At 44.4% G+C, this 27,806-nt stretch overlaps 1 protein-coding gene across 3 annotated transcripts in view, besides 2 other annotated features; it reads left to right on the top strand.

The window, feature by feature from the left end:
- MBTPS1 (membrane bound transcription factor peptidase, site 1) overlaps positions 1-27,806 on the top strand; it is a 63,180-nt gene that overhangs the window by 19,882 nt on the left and 15,492 nt on the right. For all 3 annotated transcript variants that reach the window (NM_003791.4, XM_047434831.1, XM_047434830.1), the window contains exons 4-14: positions 1,256-1,459; positions 3,240-3,350; positions 3,764-3,873; positions 5,213-5,329; positions 6,119-6,186; positions 9,601-9,703; positions 11,927-12,078; positions 15,153-15,314; positions 22,320-22,464; positions 26,285-26,473; positions 27,023-27,195. In NM_003791.4, the coding sequence (NP_003782.1) occupies positions 1,256-1,459; positions 3,240-3,350; positions 3,764-3,873; positions 5,213-5,329; positions 6,119-6,186; positions 9,601-9,703; positions 11,927-12,078; positions 15,153-15,314; positions 22,320-22,464; positions 26,285-26,473; positions 27,023-27,195 (1,534 nt within the window). The remainder of the gene's footprint in view (positions 1-1,255; positions 1,460-3,239; positions 3,351-3,763; positions 3,874-5,212; positions 5,330-6,118; positions 6,187-9,600; positions 9,704-11,926; positions 12,079-15,152; positions 15,315-22,319; positions 22,465-26,284; positions 26,474-27,022; positions 27,196-27,806) is intronic.
- Positions 4,313-5,512: an enhancer, noted in NCBI's record as "CDK7 strongly-dependent group 2 enhancer chr16:84125154-84126353 (GRCh37/hg19 assembly coordinates)". NCBI's record gives its function as "activates an origin of replication core promoter dependent on BRD2, BRD4, P300/CBP, MED14 and CDK7 cofactors, with strong dependence on CDK7, by STARR-seq in HCT116 cells {active_cell/tissue: HCT116}" and the evidence as "EXISTENCE:reporter gene assay evidence [ECO:0000049][PMID:35650434]".
- Positions 12,081-12,130: a silencer, noted in NCBI's record as "silent region_7775". NCBI's record gives its function as "represses an Ori minimal core promoter by ATAC-STARR-seq in GM12878 lymphoblastoid cells {active_cell/tissue: GM12878}" and the evidence as "EXISTENCE:reporter gene assay evidence [ECO:0000049][PMID:35858748]".

The raw sequence follows: 27,806 nt of genomic DNA, 5'->3' as shown, positions 1-27,806 counted from the left end.
TTTTCTCTCCAGGCTAATCCTCAGTTCTTGCCATAGTTACTCAGGTGACTTGATTTCAAGTCCCCTCATCATTTTAAGTGTTTTCCTTTGAATGTACTAATTTTTCTAAATTGTTTGAAAGCTGTGAAGCCCTGAACTGAGTATAATACTGGAGGTGGAGTCTGGCCTGTGCAGGGTCAAGCAGAGCAGGCCCATTCCTGGTCTCAGTGTTGCTCTTCAGTCAGCACCTGCAGCATTGTCCCATGCTGTTGACTTAAAGATCAGACTCAGCAGAGGAATTTCAATTAAGAACCGTTTCAGTTGGACTGTGCAAATATTTACTTACCAGAATTGACGTGACTGTATGTGTTTCCAGGTCCCTGTACTTAACATGGGTGTAGGTTGGTAAGGCTAGAATAAAAATGACAGTGATTTGCTTTAGAAAGAGAACTGTATTGGTATTACAGATTTTCTCTTCTTAAAACTGATTTGAAATATGACTTGTTCATTATAACATGGTCTTTGAAAGGTTAAGGGAAAACCCTTAGGCCATTTCTGTGGTACTGCCTTTTTCCTCCGCTTTTTAAAAATAAAGAGACTTACAGATAGTAAAATTCGTCCTTTTTAGAGTATAGTTTGGCAAGTTTTGGCAAAAGTATACCATCAAATATCCACCAACAAAATCAAGATATGGAATAATTCCATCACCCTCAGAAATTCCCTGTCTCTCACTCCTGTGTAGTCCTTTTGTTTTTGAAAGGTGAAATTCTAGCAGATAAGAATATTGAGAATATTGAGCAATATACAGTTGTTTTAAGTCCTGTTGATATTTGATGGCTTTTGCCTGCCCAAGAAATCTAGTGAAACTTATAGTAAAAATAAAACTCAATGAATGCTTAGGGTCATTTTCTTTAACTTTTCCCCCTTCTGGTTCAGTGAGAACAAGTTGCTGATGAAAATCAGGTTTTTCTTTATTTTTATTATCACAATTAGCTTTTTAAAATTATTATTATTTAATTTAATCAGTCTTTCTTTGCCTTACCTTGGTTAGAAAATTTCAAGTAGAGAACTATTTGGGAGTAATATGACAGCTAAATAACGTCCTATAATTATAATTGCATTGAGACTGTCCTTCCAGAAAAAGAAGATAATCCCACTTTCCTTCAAACAGAGTGGCAAATGGTAATCCTCCCTGTGTTTAGGATAGTTTTGCCTGGCGGGTATCGTGTAGTTCGTTTTGCTCTTCTGTTCTGATCTTTCTCTCCCTTGCCTGTAGCTGACCCCACAGTACCCTGCAATGAAACCCGGTGGAGCCAGAAGTGGCAATCATCACGTCCCCTGCGAAGAGCCAGCCTCTCCCTGGGCTCTGGCTTCTGGCATGCTACGGGAAGGCATTCGAGCAGACGGCTGCTGAGAGCCATCCCGCGCCAGGTTGCCCAGACACTGCAGGCAGATGTGCTCTGGCAGATGGGATATACAGGTGTGTGCTATTACCCAGGGAAGGTGCTTATGGGATATACAGGTGTGTGCTATTACCCAGGGAAGGCGCGGAAAGTCCAGACATGCAGGAATTCCATGTTCGGGACTGCCTAGTGCTAAAGCCCTGCAGCCTTCCACATCTAACCTTCTTACTATTTGTTTAGCTGGAGGTAGCCAAGTACTCCTCATCTTTGACTCCTGTGATGCCAGGCATCTGTTTCTGTGGCTTTCCTAATTGTCACCATTTGTGTCTTATTTTTGTTACCATTTCTGAGGTTAGAAGGGAAGGCTGTGGAGCACTTCTCTCCTATTGACACATACACAAACGAGCACAGCGCTGCCGGCCACTGGCGCTGACCGACAGGCCTGCAGAAGTCTGTCACTTCTTGGGGAAAGATGGTCCCTGATCTGGGCAATTCCACGGAAATTAGTTTATCACTTGAGTTTGGTGTCCTGAATGCAGAGTGACTAAGTAATTGACTATCACACCTGCTGATGATTTGTTTCAGAACAGGAAGCAGTGTTAATGATCATGTCCTGTGAAATAAAATTCAGAACAATAAGGATTTTTCCCTTGCTGATTCATCATGACCAAACCTTCATGTTTTATCTAATGTGAAGATTTTTACCTTGACTTCTAAATGTAAGCCAGTTTCACCTGCTCCCAGGACAGCGCAGTTTGCCTCGGTGTCTTTCGTATATCCTTGACTTAGGGACCCTTACCTCTCCTTTGATCTCCTTGGCGCCCTGCCCTCCAAAATATCTGAGATACTTCAACTTTTAATACCCGGTGGACTGGCATTTCATTAAAATGTGTGTCTCCCCATGGTTTTACCTTTTTATGAGAACTCCTTGACAAAACAAATTTTCTAGTCATGAGAAATAATTTTTTATTCCCCCCAAACCAAATGATTTCTGATTTTGTGTGTGCATTTTTTAAAAGTAGCATTGATTTTTATATTTATCTCAGTTTAATAGATTATTTAACATAGTATTGATATGTACACAGCCCTTTTGCCAGAAAGACATTACCCTCTTTACATTGGTTAGCTGTTAAGTCATATAGGTATTCTGTATTTTTTTTCTAGATGCTTTCTAGAATTTTTGGTCAGACAGGCCAGTTGTATTTCACATTGGTGTTGATGGCTTTGGCCAGTATCTGGAATAGACTTACTATTATAGAAAAGTGCACACTGCAGTGATTTTTCTTAGGTGTGATTAGCCGCATGTGGTGTTAATTGTTCCTTGCGGCAGAGTTTGCTGTATTATAAATGAGCAGCATTGAATAAATTGCTGTCCTTATTGGGAATAGGAATGGTTCCCCCTTTTCCCATTTTTGTGTCCCGCTCCTTGGGTGTGTGGTTTGTGAGTGTTTTGCAGGGCCTCCGAGAAGGTGGGGGGTGGAGACCTGTGATAAATTGCCAGAAGGGGAGTATCAGTAGGTGCCAGCCTGGAGCCTTGAGAAGCCCGCTAGGAGTGGAAGGGGTGGTTCTATCCTGAGTGCTGGTGGCAATTGAGGAGGGTCTAGAAGGATTTTCTGCTTATCCTTAAATCTTATTTGGCGGCAGATGATGGCATTGCTCCTGCTGTCCTCTTTTCTTAGCCTTGGCTCAGCCAGCTGACCCTGGGAGCAGCTGACCTAACTTATTTGCTCTGAGCAGCTTTGGCCTTCCACAATATGTCATTTTCTGTGGGTCCCAGGAAGGAATGTATTTTATAGGCAAAATCCAAAATGATGATTTCTTCAAACATAATTGTGTTTGCTTTCTTTTCCGAATAAGGTGCTAATGTAAGAGTTGCTGTTTTTGACACTGGGCTGAGCGAGAAGCATCCCCACTTCAAAAATGTGAAGGAGAGAACCAACTGGACCAACGAGCGAACGCTGGACGATGGTGGGTCTCAGCAGCAGTGAGAACGTGGTCATGTGATCGACTGAGAGTGTGTTTAGTGCATGATTCCACAGTCTGTCCAGCAATTATTCAGACAAGCCCAAGGTGTTATTGTGCTTTTTGTTGTGGCAGAAACTGCTCTGAATACCTCATAGGATGTCGGGAGGTAGCACTTCAGGAGAGAGTGGGCATGCCTGGTGTGGGGGCAGCTCCCTGTCCCGGAGAGCGTGGAGTGGCTAGACCTGGAAGGGGTGCTTGTGCCAGTGACGTCTAAGGGGATCGTAGAGCAGCAGCAGAGGCCCTCCTCTATCCAGCACTTGGAAATGGAAGGCCGTGGAACTCATGGCCTGGAATGTTGCGTCCTGGCACTTGCTATTCAGTGTGTTTTATGGGATTGTTTTCTTTATGGACTGCAGGGTTGGGCCATGGCACATTCGTGGCAGGTGTGATAGCCAGCATGAGGGAGTGCCAAGGATTTGCTCCAGATGCAGAACTTCACATTTTCAGGGTCTTTACCAATAATCAGGTAGGTGTTTTGAGGACTCCTGAAACTTGAGGAATTCATACTGAAATGTAAAAAGCAGAATCACTGGACTGTACACACTTGTGTAAAAGGAGTGCACGTCAGTGACGCTGAGCCATTCATACTGCAGCACGCATGCTCAGTTTACTGTTCCTCTGCCTCCTGGGTGGCTCCGCCCTTCTCCCACCAACCACTGTGTCGACCTAAGTTGAACCCTGAAGACCCTGCCGAGGCTACTACTTACGACGATTCTTTGATTTCCCTTGTTTCTTCTCTACCTCCAGGCTTCCCCAGGCCTCTGTACCCTGGGTCGGTTGTCTGCATGATAGAACAGAACAATTGCAGATAGAATAAGTGTGCTTGCCTCCCTGATTGGGTTCCTACCACCTTGAGCTGTTTTATTTACCTCTGTGTCCCGACACCTGGCATTGTGTTGGGTAATGGGAGTTTACAAGCCTTGTTCCTTCACTCTTCATTTGGAAACTATAGAAAAGGGAGAGGGTCCTAGTATTTGTTTCTTTTTTCGTTATTTATTTTTTAAGGTTAATTTTTGAATAGGTAATGCATAGCTCAGAAATGTCAGAAGGTAACACAGTGAGACCCCCACCCCTGTCCCCGTCCAGCAGGTTCTTTCCTCACTGGCCCGTGTGTCCTGTGTGATGATGTTCCTTTCTTATACCTCCTCGTAGAATTTCTTTGGTGTATATGAGAAAATATAAGTACCTGGTCTTTTAAAAACCTTTAAAAACATAATCTTAATCATTACATTGCTTCTCTTCCTACCATAAACTTAATTTTATATTTTTTAAAAAAGCAACAGCTAAAGGTGATCCACAAAGTAATGAAGCTTTTGTAAGGAACATAGGAGCACTTGAACATCAGAAGACTAATACTGTGAAATAACTGTTACTGCTGCCATTTGTCCTTCAGTCTGTTTAGGAATGAAGAAGGTTAGATAGATAAGTTGAACTATTCCAAAATGCTTAACTTAATAGAAGTGCCTTGGGATAAGTCCTTTTGTAGGAGAGGGGCGGTTGGGAGCTTGGGTGTTATCTAGGAAGGCATTCTTTGTGTAGAGAGCTGTGCATTTCACCTAGAGAGATAGGCCACCTGCAGAACACAGCTGCCTCTTCCTTAGGTTCAGCTCCAAGGACTTAGAACTTCTACGTGTTGTATTTTACTCTCCAGAGCATTATGCATGCTCAGGATTCATTTCTGGTTTTAAGTAAAAAAAAATTAAGAGAACTACTTGTAATTTTAAAAGAGCCTTAGAAATAAAAACTGTCCTAGCACTTTAAAACTTGATTGAAACACTAAGCAGACTGTTATAATATTTAACTAGGTATCTTACACATCTTGGTTTTTGGACGCCTTCAACTATGCCATTTTAAAGAAGATCGACGTGTTAAACCTCAGCATCGGCGGCCCGGACTTCATGGATCATCCGTTTGTTGACAAGGTTTGTGGAGTCACTGCACACGGGGTTTGGGTGACAGCTCCTGCTCTTTCGCAGCCCAACTTTGCATCATATCTAGTGTGTTGGTGGCTTTTCATCCAGGTGGTGACAGCTTTGTGAGAACAGATGGCTAATGACGTGAGCTTCAGTGATTTGCATGTCATAAATTGAGTGGGTTAGAGGCCTCAGAGTAGGTGTTGATAAGGAGCACATGGTGCCTTGCTGATTTTTTTTTTTTTTTTTTTTTTGAGATGGAGTTTTATTCTTGTTGGCCAGGCTGGAGTACAATGGCACAGTCTTGGCTCACTGCAACCTCCGCCTCCCAGGTTCAAGCGGTTCTCCTGCCTCAGCCTCCCAAGTAGCCGGGATTACAGGTGCACACCACCATGCCCGGCTAATTTTGCTATTTTTAGTAGAGACGGGGTTTCACCGAATTGGCCAGGCTGGTCTCCAACTCCTGACCTCAGGTGATCCACCCACCTCAGCCTTTCAAAGTGCTGGGATTACAGGCGTGAGCCACCATGCCCTGCCAATTCTTTCTTACCTAAACATGCAATTCGTGTTTTCCTCAAAGTGACTAGAAAGTCAGCATCTGCTCTGTGCACTGCGTGCTTCTCCGTCCCGGGTGGTATCCTCTAAAAATGCAAGTTGCCAGCACATCCGCCTTTATAATGGGCCAGTGCTGCTTTTTTAGAACTGTTTTTAGACGTTGTGTATGGTTTTTTTTTTTTTTTTGACAGTTATATGTTTAATGAAAGGGATACTTTCATTAAATAAATGCTCCTTTTGTAGGTGTGGGAATTAACAGCTAACAATGTAATCATGGTTTCTGCTATTGGCAATGACGGACCTCTTTATGGGTAAGTAGCCCCAGCAGGGATGACCTCGGGGATTTTTTCCCCCTTAAATAACTGAAAAATTGTTATCTGTTTGTGTATCTACCTATGGTTACTTGTTTATGTCTGTCTAAAACTTGTCTTAAGGATGTTTTCCTCATGTAAAAAAATACTATAGGATGTAGATGAACACCCAGGTACTCACCACTCACCTCAGCAGTTGTCACCTCAAGGCCGGTCTTCCTTCTATTTATATATTTTTAAAATTTTGTTACAAATAGTAATTTAGAGGCCTAAAGTTTTTATTCTAACTACTTTTTTTCCCCAAAAATCAATCAGAAAAGTGAATCTATTAGGGATTCTGCAGTGTTGATGAGATCTGTGTGCAAAGCATCCGGGTAAAGAGGCAAACGGAAGAGGTTTCTGCCTCTCTCTGAAAGAGCAGGTGCGAGCACAGTGACACTCATTCACAGGGGAAGTGCTGGCGGGCCTAACGGCAACATGGCCGGTGCTTTGGGAGTTGATGAGAGGGATCATTTAGGAGGGAGGCAGGGAGGACAGTGTCACAGGGGGGCCTTTGTGCTAAACTTAAGCAGCGTGAGATGCGAAACATTTGCCACTGAATCCCAGCCAGTACGCTCCTGTCTGGTTAGAGGTCTCAGTTTTCTTTCCACCAGCAGCTTCATTTTATTCTCTAGATAATGTTTATAAGTCATTTCTTGTGCTCGAAGTTTCTGTAGGATGCTTTACACAAATCCAGGGCATAAGACAAGGTGAAGCTATGTGAAGTTCATGTTTGCATATCAGAAAACGTGAATATTGGCATTCATAGGACTCTAGCCTAATAGTTGAGTAAATGATCGTGAACCTTGTTAGAGGTCCAGGGTTCTGGATTTTGCTGTCGCATCAGTGATACGTATCATGAGCCATAGATGTAAGTGGCATGAACATACCCTCGCTATAGCTCTGCCATGACAAACACCAGTTATTAAGTCATCTCGTCAGGTGTTCTTGTCTCCCTTTTAAATGTTCCTCCCATTTCTGATGTCCCCACTCAAGGCTGGCACTCATCGGTTCAGAGTCACCAGGTGTCAGTGTTTCCTAGCCTGTTTTCCAATCTTGAGTCTTTTCCCACCCCAGCTCTTCCAGCATGGACATGGGTGAAACTAGGTGTGGAAGCAGACAGGTCCGACCTGCCACTTACGGCTGAGGCACCGTCACTTCTCTGAGCCTCAGCTCCCTCACCTGTGATGGGAGTAGAGAGCAGCCTGCAGAGTACCTATGAGACTGAAATCAGACAGCAGGGGGAGAGCACCATGAATGCTGATGATGCTCTTTGAATGGAAGCTGCTCTTTTTCTTTTTTGTGCGTATTTCTACTGTTCAAACATATATTGTAGCAGTTTTCTAATCAAGAATCTGCAGCAGTTTATTATTGCCTAATAGATGAAATCCACATTTTTCTTTTGTTTTTCAAGGTCTTCAGTATTCTAGGCTGAATTGCAAACTTTTTCTGTAAAGGGTCAGATAATAAATATTTTAGGCGTTATTGTGTGAAAGCAGCTGCGGGTGATATATGTGTAAATGAACATGACTGTGTTCCAGGAACGCTGTATTTGCAAAAACAGGTGTGGGCCTGGTTTGGCCCATGGGCCGTAGTTGGCCAACTCCAGCCACAATCTCAGTTCACCTTGATCTTCCACTTCCCCATGTACACCTTCCTGGAATGAGTGTCCTCCTTCTGTTTCTCTCAGGTCTTCCGCACCCCATCCCTCTGCCCATCCTCCTGGCCATACCTGTCTGGATTCCCAGCTCTTTCGCATGCTGTTCGGACTGTTTTGTCACACGCTGGCTGCCGTTCTGAAACCCTGTGGCTTTTGTGGGTGGTTGCACTCCGTAGCTTCTTACCAGAGTTGTGAGTTTATGGTGTGTTGAAGGAGCAGAGCCTTGCCAGGAAGGCCCCATCTCCACCTTGTGTGTACGCTCATGCTGCCTCACACAGACCTGGCCACCTGCTGGCTGTTGAAGTGACAGAACGTGGCATGTGATCACGGCAGCCCAGCTTGTGGTGGGTGTGGTTTTTTCTGCTTGGGCATCTGGTGGGACTGCTTCCAGGGCTGGTCTGAGGACAGTAACATGCATACGTCAGCCCCTCTGGGAATGAGGCACACATCCTCCGGTCCCCTTTGCTGTGGTCTCTTTGTCTGGGTCCTGTGCCCTTGGTGCTCCTAGACTCTGTGGTGCCAGCAAGCCTGCAGCCTCACGTCCCTCCTTTTCAATACCAGCAATGATTTCTTGATGCGTTCCCTTATTTTTTAAGGGTTTAAAGTACACTAAGCATTATAGGGCTTAGCAGGTAGAGGAGGGTGGGAAGGTGGTATTTTTTTGGTCAACTTCAGTGGGAGTTTCTGTCAGTGACTTCTGTACCAGCCTCTGCTCCTTGAGTTCCTGGGAATGTGTAAACATCTAGCATCAGTCATCAGAAAATCATTATTCGTTCCTCTGAATGACCAGCTGGTAGGATATTGGTGGCCAGTGGGCTGAGGAGGCAGTACCACTTTTTCTCGGTGTGTTGGGAATTGTCAGTTAAAAACACACTCTAGAAGGAGAACTTCATGCTGCTATTATCTCTTAAGCCACTTGGAATCAGTTGTATGTAGTTGTTGATTTGTCAAAGAGTTCATTTTTTTTGGTAGTGGAGCCATAATAAAGCTTAGCAATGCAGTTTTATAACTGAGTGTCTCATATTTTCAAATGGTTCATCTTTATCTTGACTTTACGGTTTACACATTTTTGCCATTATTTATTTCACTATAATTTCTTTGCAGATCTAGTGCACTTAAGGTATTGGAGAGACTCTAAGGAGCTCAAGATTACAGAGTAATGATAGTCCTTCTACAGTTCCCTATGAGGAGGGTAGAACACCACCACAGGTCAATCGAAAACTTACCACTTCCTGACCTTGGCAGATGTAAATGTGTGGTTATGGTTTCTTCCAGGAGAAGTGTGTGATTTAGCTGGGGAGTTAAGATGAATGTGCTGGGAACAATTTGAAAGTGATGTGAGAATGTGTCGTTAGGTGATAAATTGTGATTGTGTTAAGTGTTGTGAGGTTCAAGGCAAGTACAGATGCTTAAGGCTTGGATTGCTGGAGGGAAAACGTGAGCCTTGAGCCCCAGTGTGCCAAGTTGACAGGGAGGAGAAGAAAGGAGGGGCGTTGCAGGTGAGAGGGCGTAATGTGAGCACAGCATGAACGTGGCAGGATCATGCGTTTCACAGGACAGCCGTGAGGAGCTGCACACGTCTTCCCACAGAAGCAGCTCATACAGTGTTAGATTGTTCTGGGAGTATTCGCCCTGGTTTGAATCATCCATTTTAAATTATTTCTCTTGTTTTTTTCTTTTTCTTTTCTTTTTTTTTTTTTTTGGTCTCAATATAGCACTCTGAATAACCCTGCTGATCAAATGGATGTGATTGGAGTAGGCGGCATTGACTTTGAAGATAACATCGCCCGCTTTTCTTCAAGGGGAATGACTACCTGGGTACGCTCTTCTTTGCTAAATAATTGTATTTAGCTGGACAAACTACTGTGGCTAGTGGCACCGGTTGTTGACGAGCCTTGGGGTGTATTTGTAAGTGCACAGACACCCTCACATTCACATGGGAATAGCCGGGGCTGTGAGTGCCTGCCCAGCCGTGAGGACGAGAGATCTGGGCCCCGTCAGCATCTGCCACTTCACTCTGGCAAGTCCACAGCTGCTGTGATGAGCACCGGCTGATTCTAAGCGGTGTTTCCCAGTTTAACTTATTAATTGATTTCTGAGGAACTCACCTTTAGGTGAATTGGGTTCCTGCCCGTTTACCCTATCTAGTAGTGGTAAGCAGTCCTCCTCAGTGGTAGGTGAGATGATATTTTTTGGGGGAGGGGAGCCTTAAGAAGTTGGAGAAACCATTGAGAACAGCTTAATATCAACTCTGCTAACACAGAAACAATTGTATTTAGCTGGACAAATTCAAAATAACTGCTACAGTTAATAATTCAGCTGTTTGGGGTTTAATTATGCAGCACATTCACCCACCTTTACCTGTCAAAGTTTGATGAAAAATTAGACGCTCGTGCAGAACAGCAGTTGGGCACCTTTGCCCTCGCTGTGGCCGAGGGGAGCATCTGCCCTTCTCATTCTTCAGGGTCAGAGCATCTCTTGGTGTTTAACGTCACATGCCACACTCGGAGGCCTCAGATAAGTCCCTGGAAAGATTCCCAACTGCCTGGGAACACTGTGGGCCTCGTCCACACTGTAGCCACTTTACAGGATAGCCTTCTGCCTGAGCCTTTGTCCTGTGACAGCGTCAGCCCCCAGCGTCCCCGCCACTCAGCCCCACCAGGGGTCCCCGCCTCCCACACTCACGTGCCTCTTCCTGGAGCTGACCTGTTGGCTGGGGACCATTCTCTCATGTGACAGTCTGTGCAGGGCAGGCTGCGTGTCCTCCCATCCACGCTCCCTCAGCATGTTCCTTGTGCTGCCGGATAATGGGAAACTGCATCCACCACTTTGTCCCCAGCTCCCTGTGTAAATGCTCTCACCGAACTGTGGTGAGATGTCATCCACTTTGTCCCCAGCTCCCCGTGTAAACGCTTTCACCAAACCGTGATGAGATGTCACGTCCATGGCCTTCATCACCAGCCAGCTTTTTAATGGCATTTGAGAAATGTCCTTCCATCATCACAGCTGCAGTGGAGGATGCCTTTACTCGGTATCCCAGTATGTGCATCCATGGTCCTTGGGTTTGATGGTCAGAAAAGGGCTTCCCTTCAAATTGGGCTCCTGTTTTCTGACAGAATATGAGATCCTATTCTAATTTTCGTTTTGCCCCAATTCTTAAGAAGCTTAAGCAAGTACTTATTAAAACGTTATCCCAAGTTAGTCGTGTGGTTATCTTGTTCCTTCTCAGTGGTTTCTTATTTCCTCTTTTACAACCGTTTGAAACATCCACTCATACCGTGTACTTTTTTCCTTGTAAAGAAACATGTTTGGGTTTTTTTACATTTTAATTTTCTAATTTTTCTAACATATTTCTAATTTTAACTTATCTAGAGATAAAGCAGTTTCCAGTTTCTGGTCTTGGTGATAAGCCAGTGTCCACTTTCCAGTCTGGCATGTCAGCAAAATTAAAATACTTATCTTTTAATTGCTTTATGCCTTTGCCATTGTTCTGGTTGTTATAAAATATATTTTTAAAAATTTACTTTCTACATTATCGTTTAAGCTTATTTTCTGTATTGTAGTGAATTTCTTTGTTTTTTTCTCTTTTTTTTTGGGGGGGGGGCGGGTGCGGGGCTGAGGGGGACAGGATCTCACTGTGTTGCCCAGGCTGGAGTGCAGTGGCACAATCACGGCTCCCTGCAGCCTTGACCTCCCGGGCTCAGGTGATCCTCCTGAGTAGCCGGGACTACAGGCTTGTGCCACTACATCTGGCTAATTTTTGTATTTTTTGTGGAGATGGGGGTCTTACTGTGTAGCCCAGGCTAGTCTGGAACTCCTGGGCTCAAGCAGTCCACCTGCCTCGGCCTCCCAGAGTGTTGGGATTACAGGTGTGAGCCTTGCGCCTGGCCTGGAGTGAATTTCAGACTAAAACCAGTACCTTCCTAAGGTTATACAGTTTTTAACTAACCCATATCTCTGTTCTGATTTGATTCACTCATGATTGCATGCGGCTGTATGCCAATGTGCGAGATGTAGCAACCAAGCTGCTTTTATTCATAGGAGCTACCAGGAGGCTACGGTCGCATGAAACCTGACATTGTCACCTATGGTGCTGGCGTGCGGGGTTCTGGCGTGAAAGGGGGGTGCCGGGCCCTCTCAGGGACCAGTGTTGCTTCTCCAGTGGTTGCAGGTGCTGTCACCTTGTTAGTGAGGTGAGTGCTGCCCCCTAGAGACCAGTAGCTCCCACGTCAGGACAGGAGCACTCGGTGCCAGCAGAGCAGGAGTCGTGTCTTGCTTCTGCCCTGTCTTGGGTTTGAGAGCTTAGGCCCTTCACAGCCTTGCTCTGTCTCTCCTTCTTCATCTCTGCAAAGAGGTAGGAGTCACTTCTTTTATAGTTAGATGAAGTGAATGTGAACACACTTTATAAGCCTAAGTAAACAAAGTGCTGATAGGCAAAATAACCTGTTTCTTTATGTTTGTGTTCTGTTTTCTAATATCCCATTTATGTGCTAGAACTGTGATTTTTATATCCAAGCAAGCATAAATATCAGGCAGGGAACAAATAGTAAGATATTTCCCTGCCATATATCCTCCATTTCCTTGGGGATTCACTTTAAAAAAGAAAAACAAAAAACAAATCCTACTGCGTATATGTAAGATATACAACATGATGTTATGGAATACATATAGATAGTAAAAAGGAGGTTACTCTAGTGAAACGAATGAACACATCCATCTTCTCACAGTGTTACCCATTTGTTGTTTTTGTGAAGGGGACTCACCTTTTAATGTTCTCTATAGCAAAGGATGTCAGAGCCACCAGGGACTGACAGTCACCACTCTGCTTTGTCTCACTGAATCTCATGCAGTTGGAATGGAGCTTAGTGACTGGCCCTTAATCTTGCAGATAATGAAACTGGAAGAAAGTTCTCAAGGAGGCCGGGTGCGGTGGCTCACACCTGTAATCCCAGCATTTTGGGAGGCTGAGGCAGCAGGTCACCTGAGGTCAGGAGTTCAAGACCAGCCTGATCAACATGGTGAAACCCTGTCTCTACTAAAAATTACAAGTTAGCCAGGTGTGGTGGTGGGCGGCTGTAATCCCAGCTACTCAGGAGATTGAGGCAGGAAAATTGCTTGAACCCGGGAGGAGGAGGCTGCAGTGAACTGAGATCGTGCCACTGCACTCCAGCCTGGGTGACAGAGCAACACTCTGTCTCAATCAGCCAATCAATCAATAAAGTTCTCCAAGCGAGTAGACCAGAGTTGATGTTCACATGTTCTCACTTTCATCGGTGGCCCGTGTTTCTTTACTCTCAGTTGTAAAAGGATGTCTTTGGGGCTGGCATTTATCTTGTTACTGTATTTTCCCCAAAAATAAATTGTACTTCTTCTATCTAGATGAAGTTTTAGTTGAGTGTTGTGATAACACACAAAACTCTGCGTATTTGGAAGTTATTCTATGCTAATTTAAAAATTAATTAATATAGGCAAATAGTATTAAATGTCTTTATATTTTAAGTTCTCTTTAAGTAAATTGAATATTGATTTCAGCTTCTGATGCCAGATATTATTTTGTTAGTAATCCTTAATAAAGCTAGATACTTGGCTGGTTGTGGTAGCTCACACCTGTAATCCCAGCACTTTGGGAGGCCAAGGCAGGAGGATTGTTTGAGGCTAGTAGTTTGAGAGCAGCTGGGGCAACATAGTGAGACCTCATCTCTACCAAAAAAAAAAAAGGGGTAGATATCCATCTCTTTCCTCCTTTCTCTGTTCTTCCCTTACAGTTTGCAGCCAAATTCTTGAGAATGTTGACATTGGCCAGACTGGCCTTTGGAGAATAACCATGTGCTTGCTGGAAACACTGTCTTCTCTTGCCGTTGTTTTCCTCTCTCCAGTGTTATATCAAGTGAGGAACAGAGTGGAGGGAAGGTGGATAGTGGGCTACCTGGCCTGTTTGCACACTTGTATTTGCCAGGTGGAGAGAATTCAGTTAGGGCTGCAGCTTCTAATGTTGTTGATTCTGGAAACAGAAAATACTGGTTCATTTCTCCTAAACGCCATGATTGTTAGCAGGAAGTGAGGGCTCTGCCTTCACTGTTGAGCCCGTCAGCTCTCTGCTGTTGAGTAAGCGGGCAGCCGAGGGGTTGTTCCTTTTCCCAGCAGCTTCTTTAAGTACAGATATTTTCAGCAACAAGGAAGCCTTTCAGTCTCCTCATCTCCCTGCAGCAGATGAAACTGCCGTTGTGATCTCTGTGTGTGACAGTCGCTCATAATGGAAGCCGAGCAGCAGTGGCGGGCCTCCCGAGCTCCAGCCTGATGATGCTGTGAAAGGCAGTGGAACGCAACCCTTGAGTTCACTTTATAGGCAGGAAGAGGAGGAAGATTGTTGACCCATAGCTTTGAGCACTTCTTTTCTTCTGTCATTAAGAATCTACTTTATCTCCTCTACTTATGTCAGATTTCCCATTTAGAAAACCTGCCTAGACTCCAACACCAAACATCATCACATACGAATATTTAGGAACTTAGGAGAGTTAAGTTTTCCTTTTTTGTGTACTGATATTCCCACCTCAATTTTAGGAATTAAAATTCACTTGTATTTATAATACATAAATACACAAAAATGGATGTTGTAACGCTAGTATCACCAGGCTAAGTTCCTAGCCAGGTCACACTGTGTGTTAAAGCTTGTTCAGATGCATTCTCATGGTGAAACTGAAGGTGGCCTTAGGTCTATGTCGTTCTGAAAGGCATCATCCATCAGGGTGGCTCATCCCAGACAAGCCTCCCAATCTGGAAACAAAAAGGCAAGGATTGGCTTTGGAGGCGGCGGTCCTCACTCAGACCTGTGCCTCCTGCTAGTCCTGTGTCGTGGCCCCTCCCCAGGATCTGAATGTGCTCCTCCTTCTCCCAGCCAGGCGGTGTCCCATGGCATCTTCTTCCTGTGACCAGCAGGCTTCCTCTCCCCAGAGGAGTCAGTACCTCCTATACATTCATGCCTTCTGCAGCCTATGTGGTTGTTTAGTTGAATTATCACAAAAATATGTGTTACTGATGCATTTAGCATAAGTGGGTCCCGTAGAAGGTTGCGGAGTGGTCAGTCCTGGATTGGGTACAGAGATGAGTGTGCACTCATTCTCTCATGCAGGCTGTGCCAGACAAGCACCTGTTGGATACTAAACAAGACTGCAGGCCTCTTGTGTGCACGTTTGTAGGTTAGGTTTTAGTGGTCCAATTTCCATTCTTTTACTGAGAGAAAATAGGCAATTCTTGATTTTTCCTCCAGCACAGTCCAGAAGCGTGAGCTGGTGAATCCCGCCAGTATGAAGCAGGCCCTGATCGCGTCAGCCCGGAGGCTCCCCGGGGTCAACATGTTTGAGCAAGGCCACGGCAAGCTCGATCTGCTCAGAGCCTATCAGATCCTCAACAGCTACAAGCCACAGGCAAGGTCAGTGCACCGCCCTGCCGATGGGTCTTTCTCTCCTTCACTGGGCTCTGGGCGAATTTTCCCTCTGCACAAAATACAAGCCTCAAAACAGAAAATGATGACTAAGCACAGAATTCTCGGGGTGCTTGGAGAGGTTTTGCTGCTGCTTCTACAGGGTGCTGCTGGCAGAACTGGTAGCTGCTTTCGCTTACTGATGTGATCTTTAATATAAATGGTTAAAAGTAATGATTTCTGAGTGGTTTTTTTGCTTTTGTTGTTTACTTTCTTAGACTCTTGAAATAATCTTAGGTTTACAGAAATTTTGCAGAAATAGGAGAGAGTTGTCCTACAAGGTTGCCCAGTTTCCCCTGATGCCACCATTTCAGATGAGTGGAGTACAGCTGTTAAAACTGTCATACAAACACTGACACTGTGCTGTAATTCACCTGCAGACCACATACATCTCGCCAGCTCCTGTGGTACTCCCGTCCGGCCTGGGCCCTGCTTTGTTTTCACCCTTATTTTGAAATGATTTTAGATTTACAGCAAAGTTTCACAAATAGTTCATGAGAACCCCTGAGTCCTTCACCCAGCTTTCCCTCACCTTAGTATCTTCCATAACCTCAGTATGAGCGTCAGAGTCTGGAAATGAACCTTGATGTAGCACTGCTGACTGACCTGCAGGCTTCACGCAGATTCCGCCCATTGTCCCACAGGTCCATTCTCTGGGATCCAGTCCAGGATCCCACATTGGATTTCATTGTCCTGTCTTCTTGGTTTCCTCTAATCACAGACGGTTCCTCCGTTTTCCTTCATCTTGTTATTGGGGGTATTCATTTTCATCATTTGATTAATGTGGTCTGTCAGTCTGGGTCCTCCAAGAAGCAGACGTCAAGCTAGGATTACATGTTCAAAAGATATGTGGGGAGTGAGGGCCTCTGAAGGATAAAGGGAAGGGTGTGGGAATAGGCAGGAACTGCAGTGCTGATCTGACACCGAAAAGTTAGGAGGACTGGGGAGGAAGAGGCTCGCACAGGCCTGAAAAAGTTTTGGCTGATGGGAAATCCTTGAACCAGATTGCCTGTTGGAGGAGTCCTGTGTCCCCCCAGAATGGGCCTGCCCTGGTGCCTCCTGTGTGCTTAGTCATTGGCTGGGAGCAGCCCCAGGGGAAGCGTGGCCTTGGCACAGACGTGTGAGGACCTGAGGGTGGCAGCTGCGGGTGTCAGCCAGCAGTGTCCTGCAGAGGAGACCTGAGCTGCTGGCCCTGTGGGGCCAGAGGTGGCTCCTGCCAGGTGTCTCCACTGTGCAGCCCGTGTTTCCTTTGTGACTTCTCAGTGTCTTGTGGGGGCATGTTTCGAGATGGCCTTGTTTCGTCACATACTTCCACTCACTCATGTTAGCATGCCTTGATGGTTCTTGCCTTTGGTGATTACTCCTGACAACTTTGACACGTGATGATTTTCTTTTTCCTTCATTCCATTTACATTGATTAATTGGAACTCTCCTGGAAGGAAGAGCTGTCCTTTCTGTCCCATTTATTTATTCAGTTCTTTACATCAGTGTGGACACATAGATATTTATTTTACTCTGTGGATTATAATTAATATCATTTAGTGGGTCGTTCAAATTGTCCCCGAGTTGGCTGTTGGGAGCTCCATCTAGTTGGCTTATGTGTGTTTTCAGCATGTGTCCAGCCTTTTCTGAGCACTTTCTGTCTTCCTGGCAGCACAGGATGTCCTGTCATGCACCTCTGTGCTCTAGCCTTGGTATCAGTTCTGTCTCCAAGCAGCTCTTTGCTGATGGCCTCTTCTAAAGAAATCAAGACCTGGGCACTCGGGGTGCTCCAAGCTGCTGTGCTCACAGTGGTTACTGCGCTCTTCGGACAGAGCTAGGCAACGTGTGGACACGTGCACAGACACATACGACTGCTTCTGTATCTGCCTATCTGTGTATGTACTGGAAACATGAGTTCATGCCACCTCCAGGTTCCAGCCAGTATCTCAGTGTTCATTCCAGCCTTTCCCTATCCTTGTTTCTATTTATTTATTTATTTCTTATTTACAGAGATGGTCATGTTACCTCTGTTTCTAACTCCATTCTCCAACAGTGAGAAGCCTGGCTCTCATTATCCACAATATGTTGGCTTATTTGCTTAGTTGTAGTGTATACGTACTGAGCAGCTTTGGAACTGCTAGCCCATGTCCTTGTGAGTTTTTTGAATATAGTATTTGTGACAGTGCGTCATTATCTTTGGCCCTACAGAATACAGTTATAGTGTTTTTTTCAGTTACTTAGGTTAATTCTTTCCTTGGTGTCTTTTTAATACAGTTGGACTCATTTATTCGTGTTTGTATTCCTTTTTAGATTTCCCCCACATCCTCGTTGATTATAACTTGTTATTGGGTGTGTGAAACATGACTGTGGTTCTAAGGATGTGTTCGTTTGTTCTTGCACTGCTATAAAAAAATACCTGAGACTGGGTAATTTATAAAGAAAAGAGGTTCAGTTGGCTCCTGGTTCTGCAGGCTGTACAGGAAGCATAGCACCAGCACCTGCTTCTGGGGAGGCCTCAGGGAGCTTCCAATCATGGCAGAAGGTGAAGGGGAGCCAGCACATCACATGGCAAGAGAGGGAGCAAGAGAGCGGGGAGGTCCCAGACTGTTAAACACCCAGATCTTGCCTGAGCTGAGTGAGAACTCAGTTACCACCAGAGGGATGGTGCTAAACCACCCATGAGGGGTCTCCCCCAGGACCCAGTCCCTCCCACTAGGCCCACCTCCAACATGGGGGATTACACGTCAGCGTGAGATTGGGAGGGGGCGAGCATCCAAACCATGTCAGTTCCCACTCGCCCATTCTTTCTACCAGGCTTCCGCACACGCCTTAGGTAACCATGACATCAGGTTTGGGTTTATCCTTCCCCCTGCCCCCACCACCCCACAAATGAGCACATACATAGAAGGATAGCATCGCTGTGGATATTGTTTTGGATTCTGCTTTTTTCACTTAACGTCCTGGAAATCTCTCCACGTCAGTGCGTAGAGATTCTCCTTTTTCACAGCCGTATCCTGTGAATGTACAATCGTTTAAGCCACTACTTGTCTACATATGGGCTTTTAAGTTGTTTCCAGTATTTTGTAATTATAAACTTGCAGTGAATAACCTCAGGCCTGTGTGTCTTAGTTTTGTTGGAGGTGTTCCTTCAGGGTAAATTGCTAAAAATTTACCCTGCTCAGCATTGAGAGCGTCTGGTAGCTCTGTTAGGTAAGGTGGCACTGCTGGTCTGGGTTGAGAGCATCGGGTAGCTCTGTTAGGTAAGGTGGCACTGCTGGTCTGGGTTGAGAGCATCGGGTAGCTCTGTTAGGTAAGGTGGCACTGCTGGTCTGGGTTGAGAGCATCGGGTAGCTCTGTTAGGTAAGGTGGCACTGCTGGTCTGGGTTGAGAGCATCGGGTAGCTCTGTTAGGTAAGGTGGCACTGCTGGTCCGGGTTGAGAGCGTCAGGTAACTTAGGTAAGGTGGCACTGCTGGTCCGGGTCGAGAGCGCCCGGTAGCTCTGTTAGGTAAGGTAGCACTGCTGGTCAGCGTTGAGAGCATCGGGTAGCTCTGTTAGGCATTGCTTTGTTTCTCTGTGAAAGGGTTGTGCCTTTTGGTATTGCGTGAGCAGTGTGCGTGAGTGCCGGTTTCCCCAAAGCCTCACTGACAGAGTGCTCTGTCTTGTTATTTTTACAAATCTGATTGGTAAGAAATGGTATTTCAGTATTGTTTAATTTGTGTTTCTCTATTTATGAGTGAGTTTGAACACCTAAGTCCATGTTTAAGAGCTTTTTTTTTTTAAGCTTTCTTGTGAATTGTCTGTTCATTTCTTTTTCAATGGGGTTTTTGGTCCCTCTTTAGAGTTCTCGATATATGAGTGTTAGTAACCCTCCGTCAGGGATGCATGTTGCGGATTTTTCTGCCACTTTGTCAGTTGTCTTTTGACTTAGTGTAAGGTGTTTTTGCCATGCAGTTGTTTTTTAATAGTCACATTTGTTACTCTTCAGCTGATGCCTCTGTATTTTGAGTCCTTAGAAAGTCTTTTTCTGCACTGAGGGAGGTAAAAGAGAAATTCACCTGTGTTTTCTTCTAATATTTGTTTGCTTTCTTTTATTTACTTGAAATTCCTTGATCCATTTGGAGTTAATTTTTGTGTATTGTTTGGAGGTAGGGATGTAATTTTTTCTTTTGCCAAATGGCCACCCATTTGTTAAAGCTCTTGTGATTAAAAAGTCCATCTTTGCCCCAGTGATTTGAGATACTGTCTTTATTATGTACTAAGTTTTCATATGTATTATGTCTATCCCTGAGCTTTCCATTCTGTTCCACTGGTCTGTCTGTCCATGTACTGGTACCACACTGTTTTGATTATAAAGACTTTATAGCATGTTTTAATATCTGTTAGTGCTAGTTCCCCTTGTAATTTTTTTTTTCGTTGTTTTCTTGGGTATTCTTTTCTTTCTTTCTTTTCTTTTCTCTCTCTCTTTTTTTTTTTTTTTTCTTTTTTAATGCAGCAGGGTCTTGCTCTGTGGCTCAGGCTGGAGTGTAGTTGCATGATCTCAGCTCACTGTAACCTCTGCCATCTGGGCTCAGGTGACTGTCCCGTCTCAGCCTCCCAAGTAGGTGGACTGCAGGTACATACCCCCATGCCCCGCTAATTTTTCTATTTTTAGTAGAGACAGGGTTTTGCCATGTTGCCCAGGCTGGTCTTCAACTCCTGGGCTCAAGCCGTCCTCCCGCCTCGGCCTCCCAAAGTGCTGGGATGACACGCGTGAGTCACTTCACCCGGCCCTTCTTGGCTATTCTTGCATGTTTGTTTTCTTCATATGAATTTTCATATCATCTTACTTAATTCTATGAAAGAAGCTTGTTGGAATTTTTGTTGCAATTGCATCAAATTTTAAATGAACTTAGAAGTAATATTTTTATAATGCTGTTATTTTGTCTAAGAGCAAAGGATATGTTTCCATTTGCTCTTGTGTGTCTTCCAGGAGGTTTTACAGTTGTCTTCATATAGGTTTTACACATTTCTTGGTAAGTTTAAGTATTTAATCTTTTTGTTGCTGCTGTAGATGGGGCTTTCTCTTCTTGTATATTCTCTAACTGGTTGATTTTATTTCTATATGTTAATTTTATATGCTGCTACCTATCTGAATTATTGTTTGAGTTAGTTTTATTATTGCTTCTCTAGGGTTTTCCAGGTGTACTAACCTACCATATGGAAATAAAGATAGTTTTACATCTTCCTTGCCAATTCTTAAGGCTTCATTGATTATTTTCTGTCTAGTTGCATGGGCTGGTATATCTAGCACAGTGTTGAACAGCAGGGGAGAGAGTGGCTATCCTTACGTTGTTCCTAATCTTAATGGAAATGCCTCTTGTATTTCTCCGTTAAGTAAGATGCTGGATTTATCCCTAAGGTGTGTATATCTATATATATATGTATATATTTTTTATTGTGTTAGATTATCTGTCTAGTGCTGTTTTTCTGAGCGTTTTCATGAGGACTGTGGATTGAATTTTGTATGTTTTTTCAGCATCTAGAAAGGTAATCATATGAATACTTTAGACCTATTAATATATATGGTTTATGATATTAATGAGTTTCCCAATATTGAACCAATCTGTAATAAATGCCACTGGTCTTGCTATTTTGTTTTCTTAATATGATGTTGAATTCTGTTTGCTAATAATGGTTTCCTAGTTAAATCATGTTGAATTAGTAGTCGAATTAAACTGATTACAGAGCACAATTACCAGCAAAGTTTACAAACACATTTCAAGTAGAACAGATACCTTTGCTGATGCATACAATTGTAGTCACATGGCCGATCCATTCAGGATTTTTAAAACTAGGTAGTACCTATTTCCTTTTCTTTTTCTTTTTTTGGTGAACTTCAGACTTGTGAAGGTGGTATCTGTTGAGATAACTTAACTGTGATATGTGTTGATTATAACTGCCTGTGAAAGTCACAGTATCCCTAAAGATATTCCATTTGGTTTCTTAAATAGCAATTCAGTTGGCCCAGATACATCTTTGTTATTACAAACTAATAAAAAGTACTCCTTATACCGTAGTTGCTGTTTGAGAAAGGCTGGCATCTCCTGTAATGAGGTGAAGCAGTTGCGCAGAGCCGCCCGCCCACTGCACGTGGGTGCAGCTTGAGAAGCAGGATCCACGTATGCCTGGTGCTCTCAGGGAGGCCATCGTGGGTCACGTCTTGTCTGAAACATTTGTCTGTTCCTGTCTTTTCACCTGTTCGGGCGTAGCTGACACCGCTGCTGCACTAGGAGTGATGTGAACCCAACACAAACTCAGTTCAGATAAGGGGAAACCATGAAACCAACATAATTGCCAGAGCACTTGTGTCAGCACTTCTGACACAAATTATGTCAGGGTCCCCAGCACCTCTCCCAGGCTCGGTGCTTTAGGGCTCACGGGACTCAGCCTGTGGTCATACTCCCAGCTAAGATTCATTATAGTGGCACAGCAAGGATGCACAGCGGCTCTGTAAGGGAAAAAGATGCCTCACACGGAGAAAGCCTGGAGAAATCCAGGCGCAGCTTCCTAAGCTCTCCCCTCTCTCCTGCCAGGCAGGGTCTCACAGAGCTGGCCCCTTTCCTAGCAGCAAGCTGCATTGACATGTGTACGTGTTTTTGCCCAGGGAAGCCCTCTAGAGACTCAAGTCCAAGTTTCCATTAGGGCTGGTCACGTACTCATTCTCTGCCAGTGACAACTCCCAAAGCTCCAGACTTGCAAAAGCAGAGGTGTCCCTGCACATCACACTGTCTGTATAGACAGCAGGCTGGCACAGAGGCCTTATCTGTGCAGGAGCATTCCAGAGCCAAGTTCCCAGATGCCAGCCTAGGGCAGCGCTGTAAGCAAGCCCTTCTGAAGCTAGGTCTGCTTTGTTAACTCTGTCTTGTACAGTTGTGTTGCTTCATTGTAGTTTTCTCATATGATCTACTCTAACACTGTATTCTTTATTTCAGTTTGAGCCCCAGCTACATAGATCTGACTGAGTGTCCCTACATGTGGCCCTACTGCTCCCAGCCCATCTACTATGGAGGAATGCCGACAGTTGTTAATGTCACCATCCTCAACGGCATGGGAGTCACAGGAAGAATTGTAGATAAGGTGAAACTTCTCTCTGACTTGGTCTCTGACTTGATGGTGAACTTAGACACAGCCCAGACCTTTAGGCCATAGTTACTTCTGCTGAAGTTAAAAAAGGAAAAGTTCTAGGCCGAGGAGAGAGGATCACTTGAGCCCAGGACTTTAAGACCAGCCTGAGCAACAAAGTGAGACCTGTCTCTACAAATAATAAAGAAATTAGCCAGGGATGGTGGTGTGTGCCCGTGGTCCCAGATACACAGGAGGCTGACGTGGGAGGATCACTTGAGTCTAGGAGGTTGAGGCTGCAGTGAGCCAAGATCATGCCATTGCACTCCAGCCTGGATGACAGAGCAAGACCTTGTCTGGGAAAAAAAAAAAAAGGAAATAGCCCTGTCTAGGGTACCAGGGCTATTGGAAGTAGTGATTTGTTATATGCTAAGTCTGTTACAGAATAAGTCAGGGTATAAATTAATGAAACCAATTTTACTTTTTTGCTTTGGCATCTTGAGTTTGGCTCCTGAGTCAGCTAATTACATTTGATTTTTCATCTATACAATTTTGCGCCTATAATTAAAGGCCCAGTTGTAGTATTTCATTCTTTATTTTTTTTTGAGACAGAGTGTCACTCTTGTTGCCCAGGCTGGAGGGCAATGGCATGATCTTGGCTCACTGCAACCTCCGCCTCCCAGGTTCAAGCGATTCTACTGGCTCAGCCTCCCAGGTATCTGGGATTACAGGTGCCTGCCACCACGTCTGGCTAATTTTTTGCATTTTTAGTGGAGACAGGGTTTCACCATGTTGGCCAGGCTGGTCTCGAATTCCTGACTTCAGGTGATCCAGCTACCTCAGCCTCCCAGAGTCCTGGGATTACAGGTGTGAGCCACCGCACCAGCCAGTATTCTATCCTTTAATGTGTTTGGAAGATACGGTCTTTTTTTTTTAATATTGTTTTGTAAATTTTTAAAAATCTTAACTATGTAGACACTATCACAATAATAAAAAATAGGGAAAAACCATAGAAAACTCGCTTCCAGCCTCAGCATACTAACTTGGCCACTGTTTTTTAAATATTCTTTTCCAGCCCTTATCTGCAATACTTATTTTTTTTGTTATCATTGTGCACTTGGCAAAAATTCACAACTTTTTTGGTGGTTCTCATTATATCATAAATATTGAAAAATTCAGCTGCCAGGCGTGTTGGCTCAAGCCTGTAATCCCAGCACTTTGAGAGGCTGAGGCAGGAGGATCACGAGGTCAAGAGATCGAGACCATCCTGGCAAACATGGTGAAACCCCGTCTCTACTAAAAATACAAAAATCAGCTGGGCGTGGTGACACACGCTTGTAATCCCAGCTACTCGGGAGGCTGAAGCAGGAGAATCGCTTGAACCTGGGAGGCGGAGGTTGCAGTGGGCCGAGATCATGCCACTGTACTCCAACCTGGTGACAGAGCAACACTCCATCTCAAAAAGAAAAGAAAAATTCAACTATATGCATGGCACCAGTATACTTCTTAATGGTTGTTTATATAGAAATAGTAAATTATAATTTGTTTGCTATTTTCCTTTGAACTGTTAGGTAGTTTTCAATTATAAACATTTCACTGAATATTATTGCATATATGGTTTTCTTTTATTTTGAATTATTTCCTTAACATAAACTCCCTGGATTTGCTCCCTGAATCAGAGGGTGTGAACAGTCAAGGATGGCTCTTGGCACATCCTACCAAATTCTGTCCAGTGGAGTTATGTCAGCTTAGACTGCTGCCAGTGGGGTTCAGGAGAAGATGGCTCCACCACACCTTCACTGGGTGATTTGCCTTTTTTTTTCTGAGACGGAGTCTCGCTCTCTCCCAGGCTTGAGTGCAGTGGCACGATCTCGGCTCACTGCAAGCTCCGTCTCCCGGGTTCACGCCATTTTCCTGCCTCAGCCTCCCGAGTAGCTGGGACTACAGGCGCCCACCACCATGCCCGGCTAATTTTTTGTATTTTTAGTAGAGACGGGTTTCACCATGTTAGCCAGGATGGTCTCGATCTCCTCACCTCATGACCCTCCCGCCTTGCCCTCCCAAAGTGCTGGGATTACAGGTGTGAGCCATCGCGCCTGACCTGATTTGCCTTTTAAAGTGTTTTTATTCCATTAGTGTTTTAAAAAATTGAGATAAAATCCACGTATCGTGAAATTCACCCTTTTAGGTCGCACAGTTTGGTGGGTTTTAGTATATTCAGAAGGCTGTGCCAACATCTCCTTCAGGAACATTCCCTAAAAGAAACCTTATACCCATTATCAGCCACTCCTTCTTCCTTCCACCAGCCCTTGGCAACCAGCCTGCTTTCTGTCTCTGTGGGCTTGCCTGTTCTGGACTTCTCACATCAATGGAATCCTATAGCATCTGTCCTTTTGTGCCCGGCTTCCTTCCCTCAGCCTCAGGTTTTCACAGTTTGTCCACGCCGTAGTGCTGTCAGTGCCGCGCTGCTTCCTGTGTTGGAGTAGTGCTCCACTGGGCGGGTCGGCCACATGGCGTTTCTCCGTTCATCTCTTGCTGGGCATTTGGCTATTCTAGGTGGTACATCTTTCAGCTTTCAGCTTAGATGGGGGTAAAACGGGCGCCTTGTGTAATGTGCACTTCAGTTCTTTGTGGGGTGGGTATCTTTGGTTGTGTTTACGAATTCTGTTTCCTCTTGTATGAGTTACACGTTGATTTCGTTGGCCCATTTTTCTCCTGGAATTGGGATTTTCTCTATCAATCCTAACATGATCGCCCTGTCATAGAGAAATTCACCATTGCTGTGTGTTCAGCAAAATGTTCCTCCAGGTGATGCTCTTTTCCCTTTAATATTACTTACTGTGGTGGGGATTTTTTTCCTTCTGTAAAAGTTTTACATTTCATGTAGTTGAATTTTTATGTTTTGTGACTTTTATTGTTTTGCAGATGGAAACATCATTCCAGAGAGATAATAAAATTTCCATTTTATTTTTCTACTAATTTTTATGTATATGATTGTTAAATATTTAATTGTTTCATCTGTGTTAATTTGATGTGTTACAAGAGATGGGCGAAAGTTTTTCACTTGGGAACCAGTGGCTCCAAGAGCATTCTTTAAAAATCCCTTTTCTTCCTCATTATTTGGGACACCGTATCCTACAGATATTTTTCTTTTTCATACTTTTTTCTTAACCCACTGGCTTACTTGGGAAGTAAGTTCTGGCTGTGTGGATTGTGGAGGGAAATGAGTAATTTAGATTCGTCTGAAATACCGGTTAGTTGCAAGCTCTCATTGACGTCTCTTCCAGATGGCCTCTGCTCACGCTTCCCTTTCTGCTTTTCTCCCACCTGGAGGGTAGAAGGGTGGTCATCTCGCAGCTGAGCCAGTCCTCCCTCCGGCCACCTCTTTCCAGCTTCAGAATGTGACTCGGGACAGCTGGTGTCCCTGTCATGTTACTGCTTTCAATTAATGGGATTTTTTTAAAGCATACAACTAATTGGGAAATAACCTTAAATCTGAGAGTTTTCATCTATATAAGTTCTCTTAGTCAGATGAAGTTTTTCATCAAAGAACTTTTGACAAAAGTTCCTGTTTTATAATAGAAAAAAAATGTCTCCATAAAATTGGAAGCTGTCAGAAATAGTGGTTTCTAGACTTTTCTAGTGATACGTCCGAGGCAGTCCATAGGCTACTTTGGTTGTAGTTACTTAGTATCTGTGTATAAATTTTATTTTTCCCTATTTAGTGAAGTATTTCTCGGAACCAGTTTTGGTAAGAATTGAGTTTTTCTGGTTTCCACGTGTTTTCTCCTGGAGCTTTTCACTTTAGCCTTTGTCTGATTTCTTTTTCCTGCAGCCTGACTGGCAGCCCTATTTGCCACAGAACGGAGACAACATTGAAGTTGCCTTCTCCTACTCCTCGGTCTTATGGCCTTGGTCGGGCTACCTGGCCATCTCCATTTCTGTGACCAAGAAAGCGGCTTCCTGGGAAGGCATTGCTCAGGGCCATGTCATGATCACTGTGGCTTCCCCAGCAGAGACAGAGGTAGGGATATGCGGGAAAGTGGCTTGTTTTCTTAGCTGTTTGACATCACCTTTCAGGGAGGGACAGGCCAAATGCCTGGGGTCTCCATTGGAAGTACAGTTGACAGATAGGCTTATCCTCGATGGCCACAATTGATGGTTCCAGGGCCTCCGGAGCAGCTGGAGTTTGAAGAAGTAGCTCAGTCAGTGAGTGCTAGGGCTTGCCGTTCTGTGGCCACACAACAGCAGAGAAGACTGTTTTCTACCAGATTTCAAGCTCAAAAGGAGTGCACCAAAAATATACATTCTCTAAAAGGAAATGTAGGGTTAATCCTATGAGGCTCTAGTAGTTTTTATTGATAGAATATGCCTTAAATTTTAACTGTTAAACTCTTTAAGTGTTTGAATGGACTTAGTTATGATACATGAATCTTTCATCAGACATTTGTTATTGGAAATTCTTGTGTTCAAATTATTTAGGTTAAGTTGATAAATAGAAATGATGTTTTCAAACCTGAAAGTTTCTTTCTGCACAATGAGGGCGTTTCAAGTTTCTTTTCTTTTTTTTTAGTCAAAAAATGGTGCAGAACAGACTTCAACAGTAAAGCTCCCCATTAAGGTGAAGATAATTCCTACTCCCCCGCGAAGCAAGAGAGTTCTCTGGGATCAGTACCACAACCTCCGCTATCCACCTGGCTATTTCCCCAGGGATAATTTAAGGATGAAGAATGACCCTTTAGACTGGTAAGCACCTCACAGGATGCACTTCACCTCCCCAGCCTCCGTGGTGGGAGGAGGCACCACTGTTCCCGCAACTCTTGGAAAGATGTTGCTCAGCTTCTCGTGGAGCCTGGACTCTGATGACGCTGAGATGTTCAGGCTTTTGCCATGCACTTAGGGCAGCCTGACTTCTCTTTTGAAACTTTCACAAGTATGATTATGCAGTAAAAAGCTTGAAGTTCTCTTTTCCTTCCTTCTCCCATTGCGCCAGTCAGCAAAGCTGTCAGTCTTACCCTCAAACTGCATCCTGGATCCTTCCATCTCTGGCCTTCTCCCTGCTCCCACCCTAGTCCATGCCATTGTCATCTCTTGCCTGGACCACATCAGCAGCTCCTGAGTGCCACTGCTGTTGCTGTTGTTGCCCTAAATTCCACTCCTCTTCTGGCAACCTTGGTAATCTTAAAACAAATTCTAACACAGTTTGCCTCAAGCTCTCCAGTGACTGCCTATTCTGACTTCCTCACCCGGCCAAGCCCCCTGGTGTGACCCATGCAGCCCTTCAGAAGCTGGCACTGCTTCCCCCGCAGTCCCCATAGCCGCTCTCCCTGTGCCTGTTCCCTGCAGGGCAGCTGGGC

The sequence above is a fragment of the Homo sapiens genome, chromosome 16, assembly GCF_000001405.40.
Source record: "Homo sapiens chromosome 16, GRCh38.p14 Primary Assembly".
In the NCBI taxonomy this organism is placed as follows: domain Eukaryota; kingdom Metazoa; phylum Chordata; class Mammalia; order Primates; family Hominidae; genus Homo; species Homo sapiens.
This window is presented reverse-complemented; position numbering and strand designations above follow the sequence as displayed.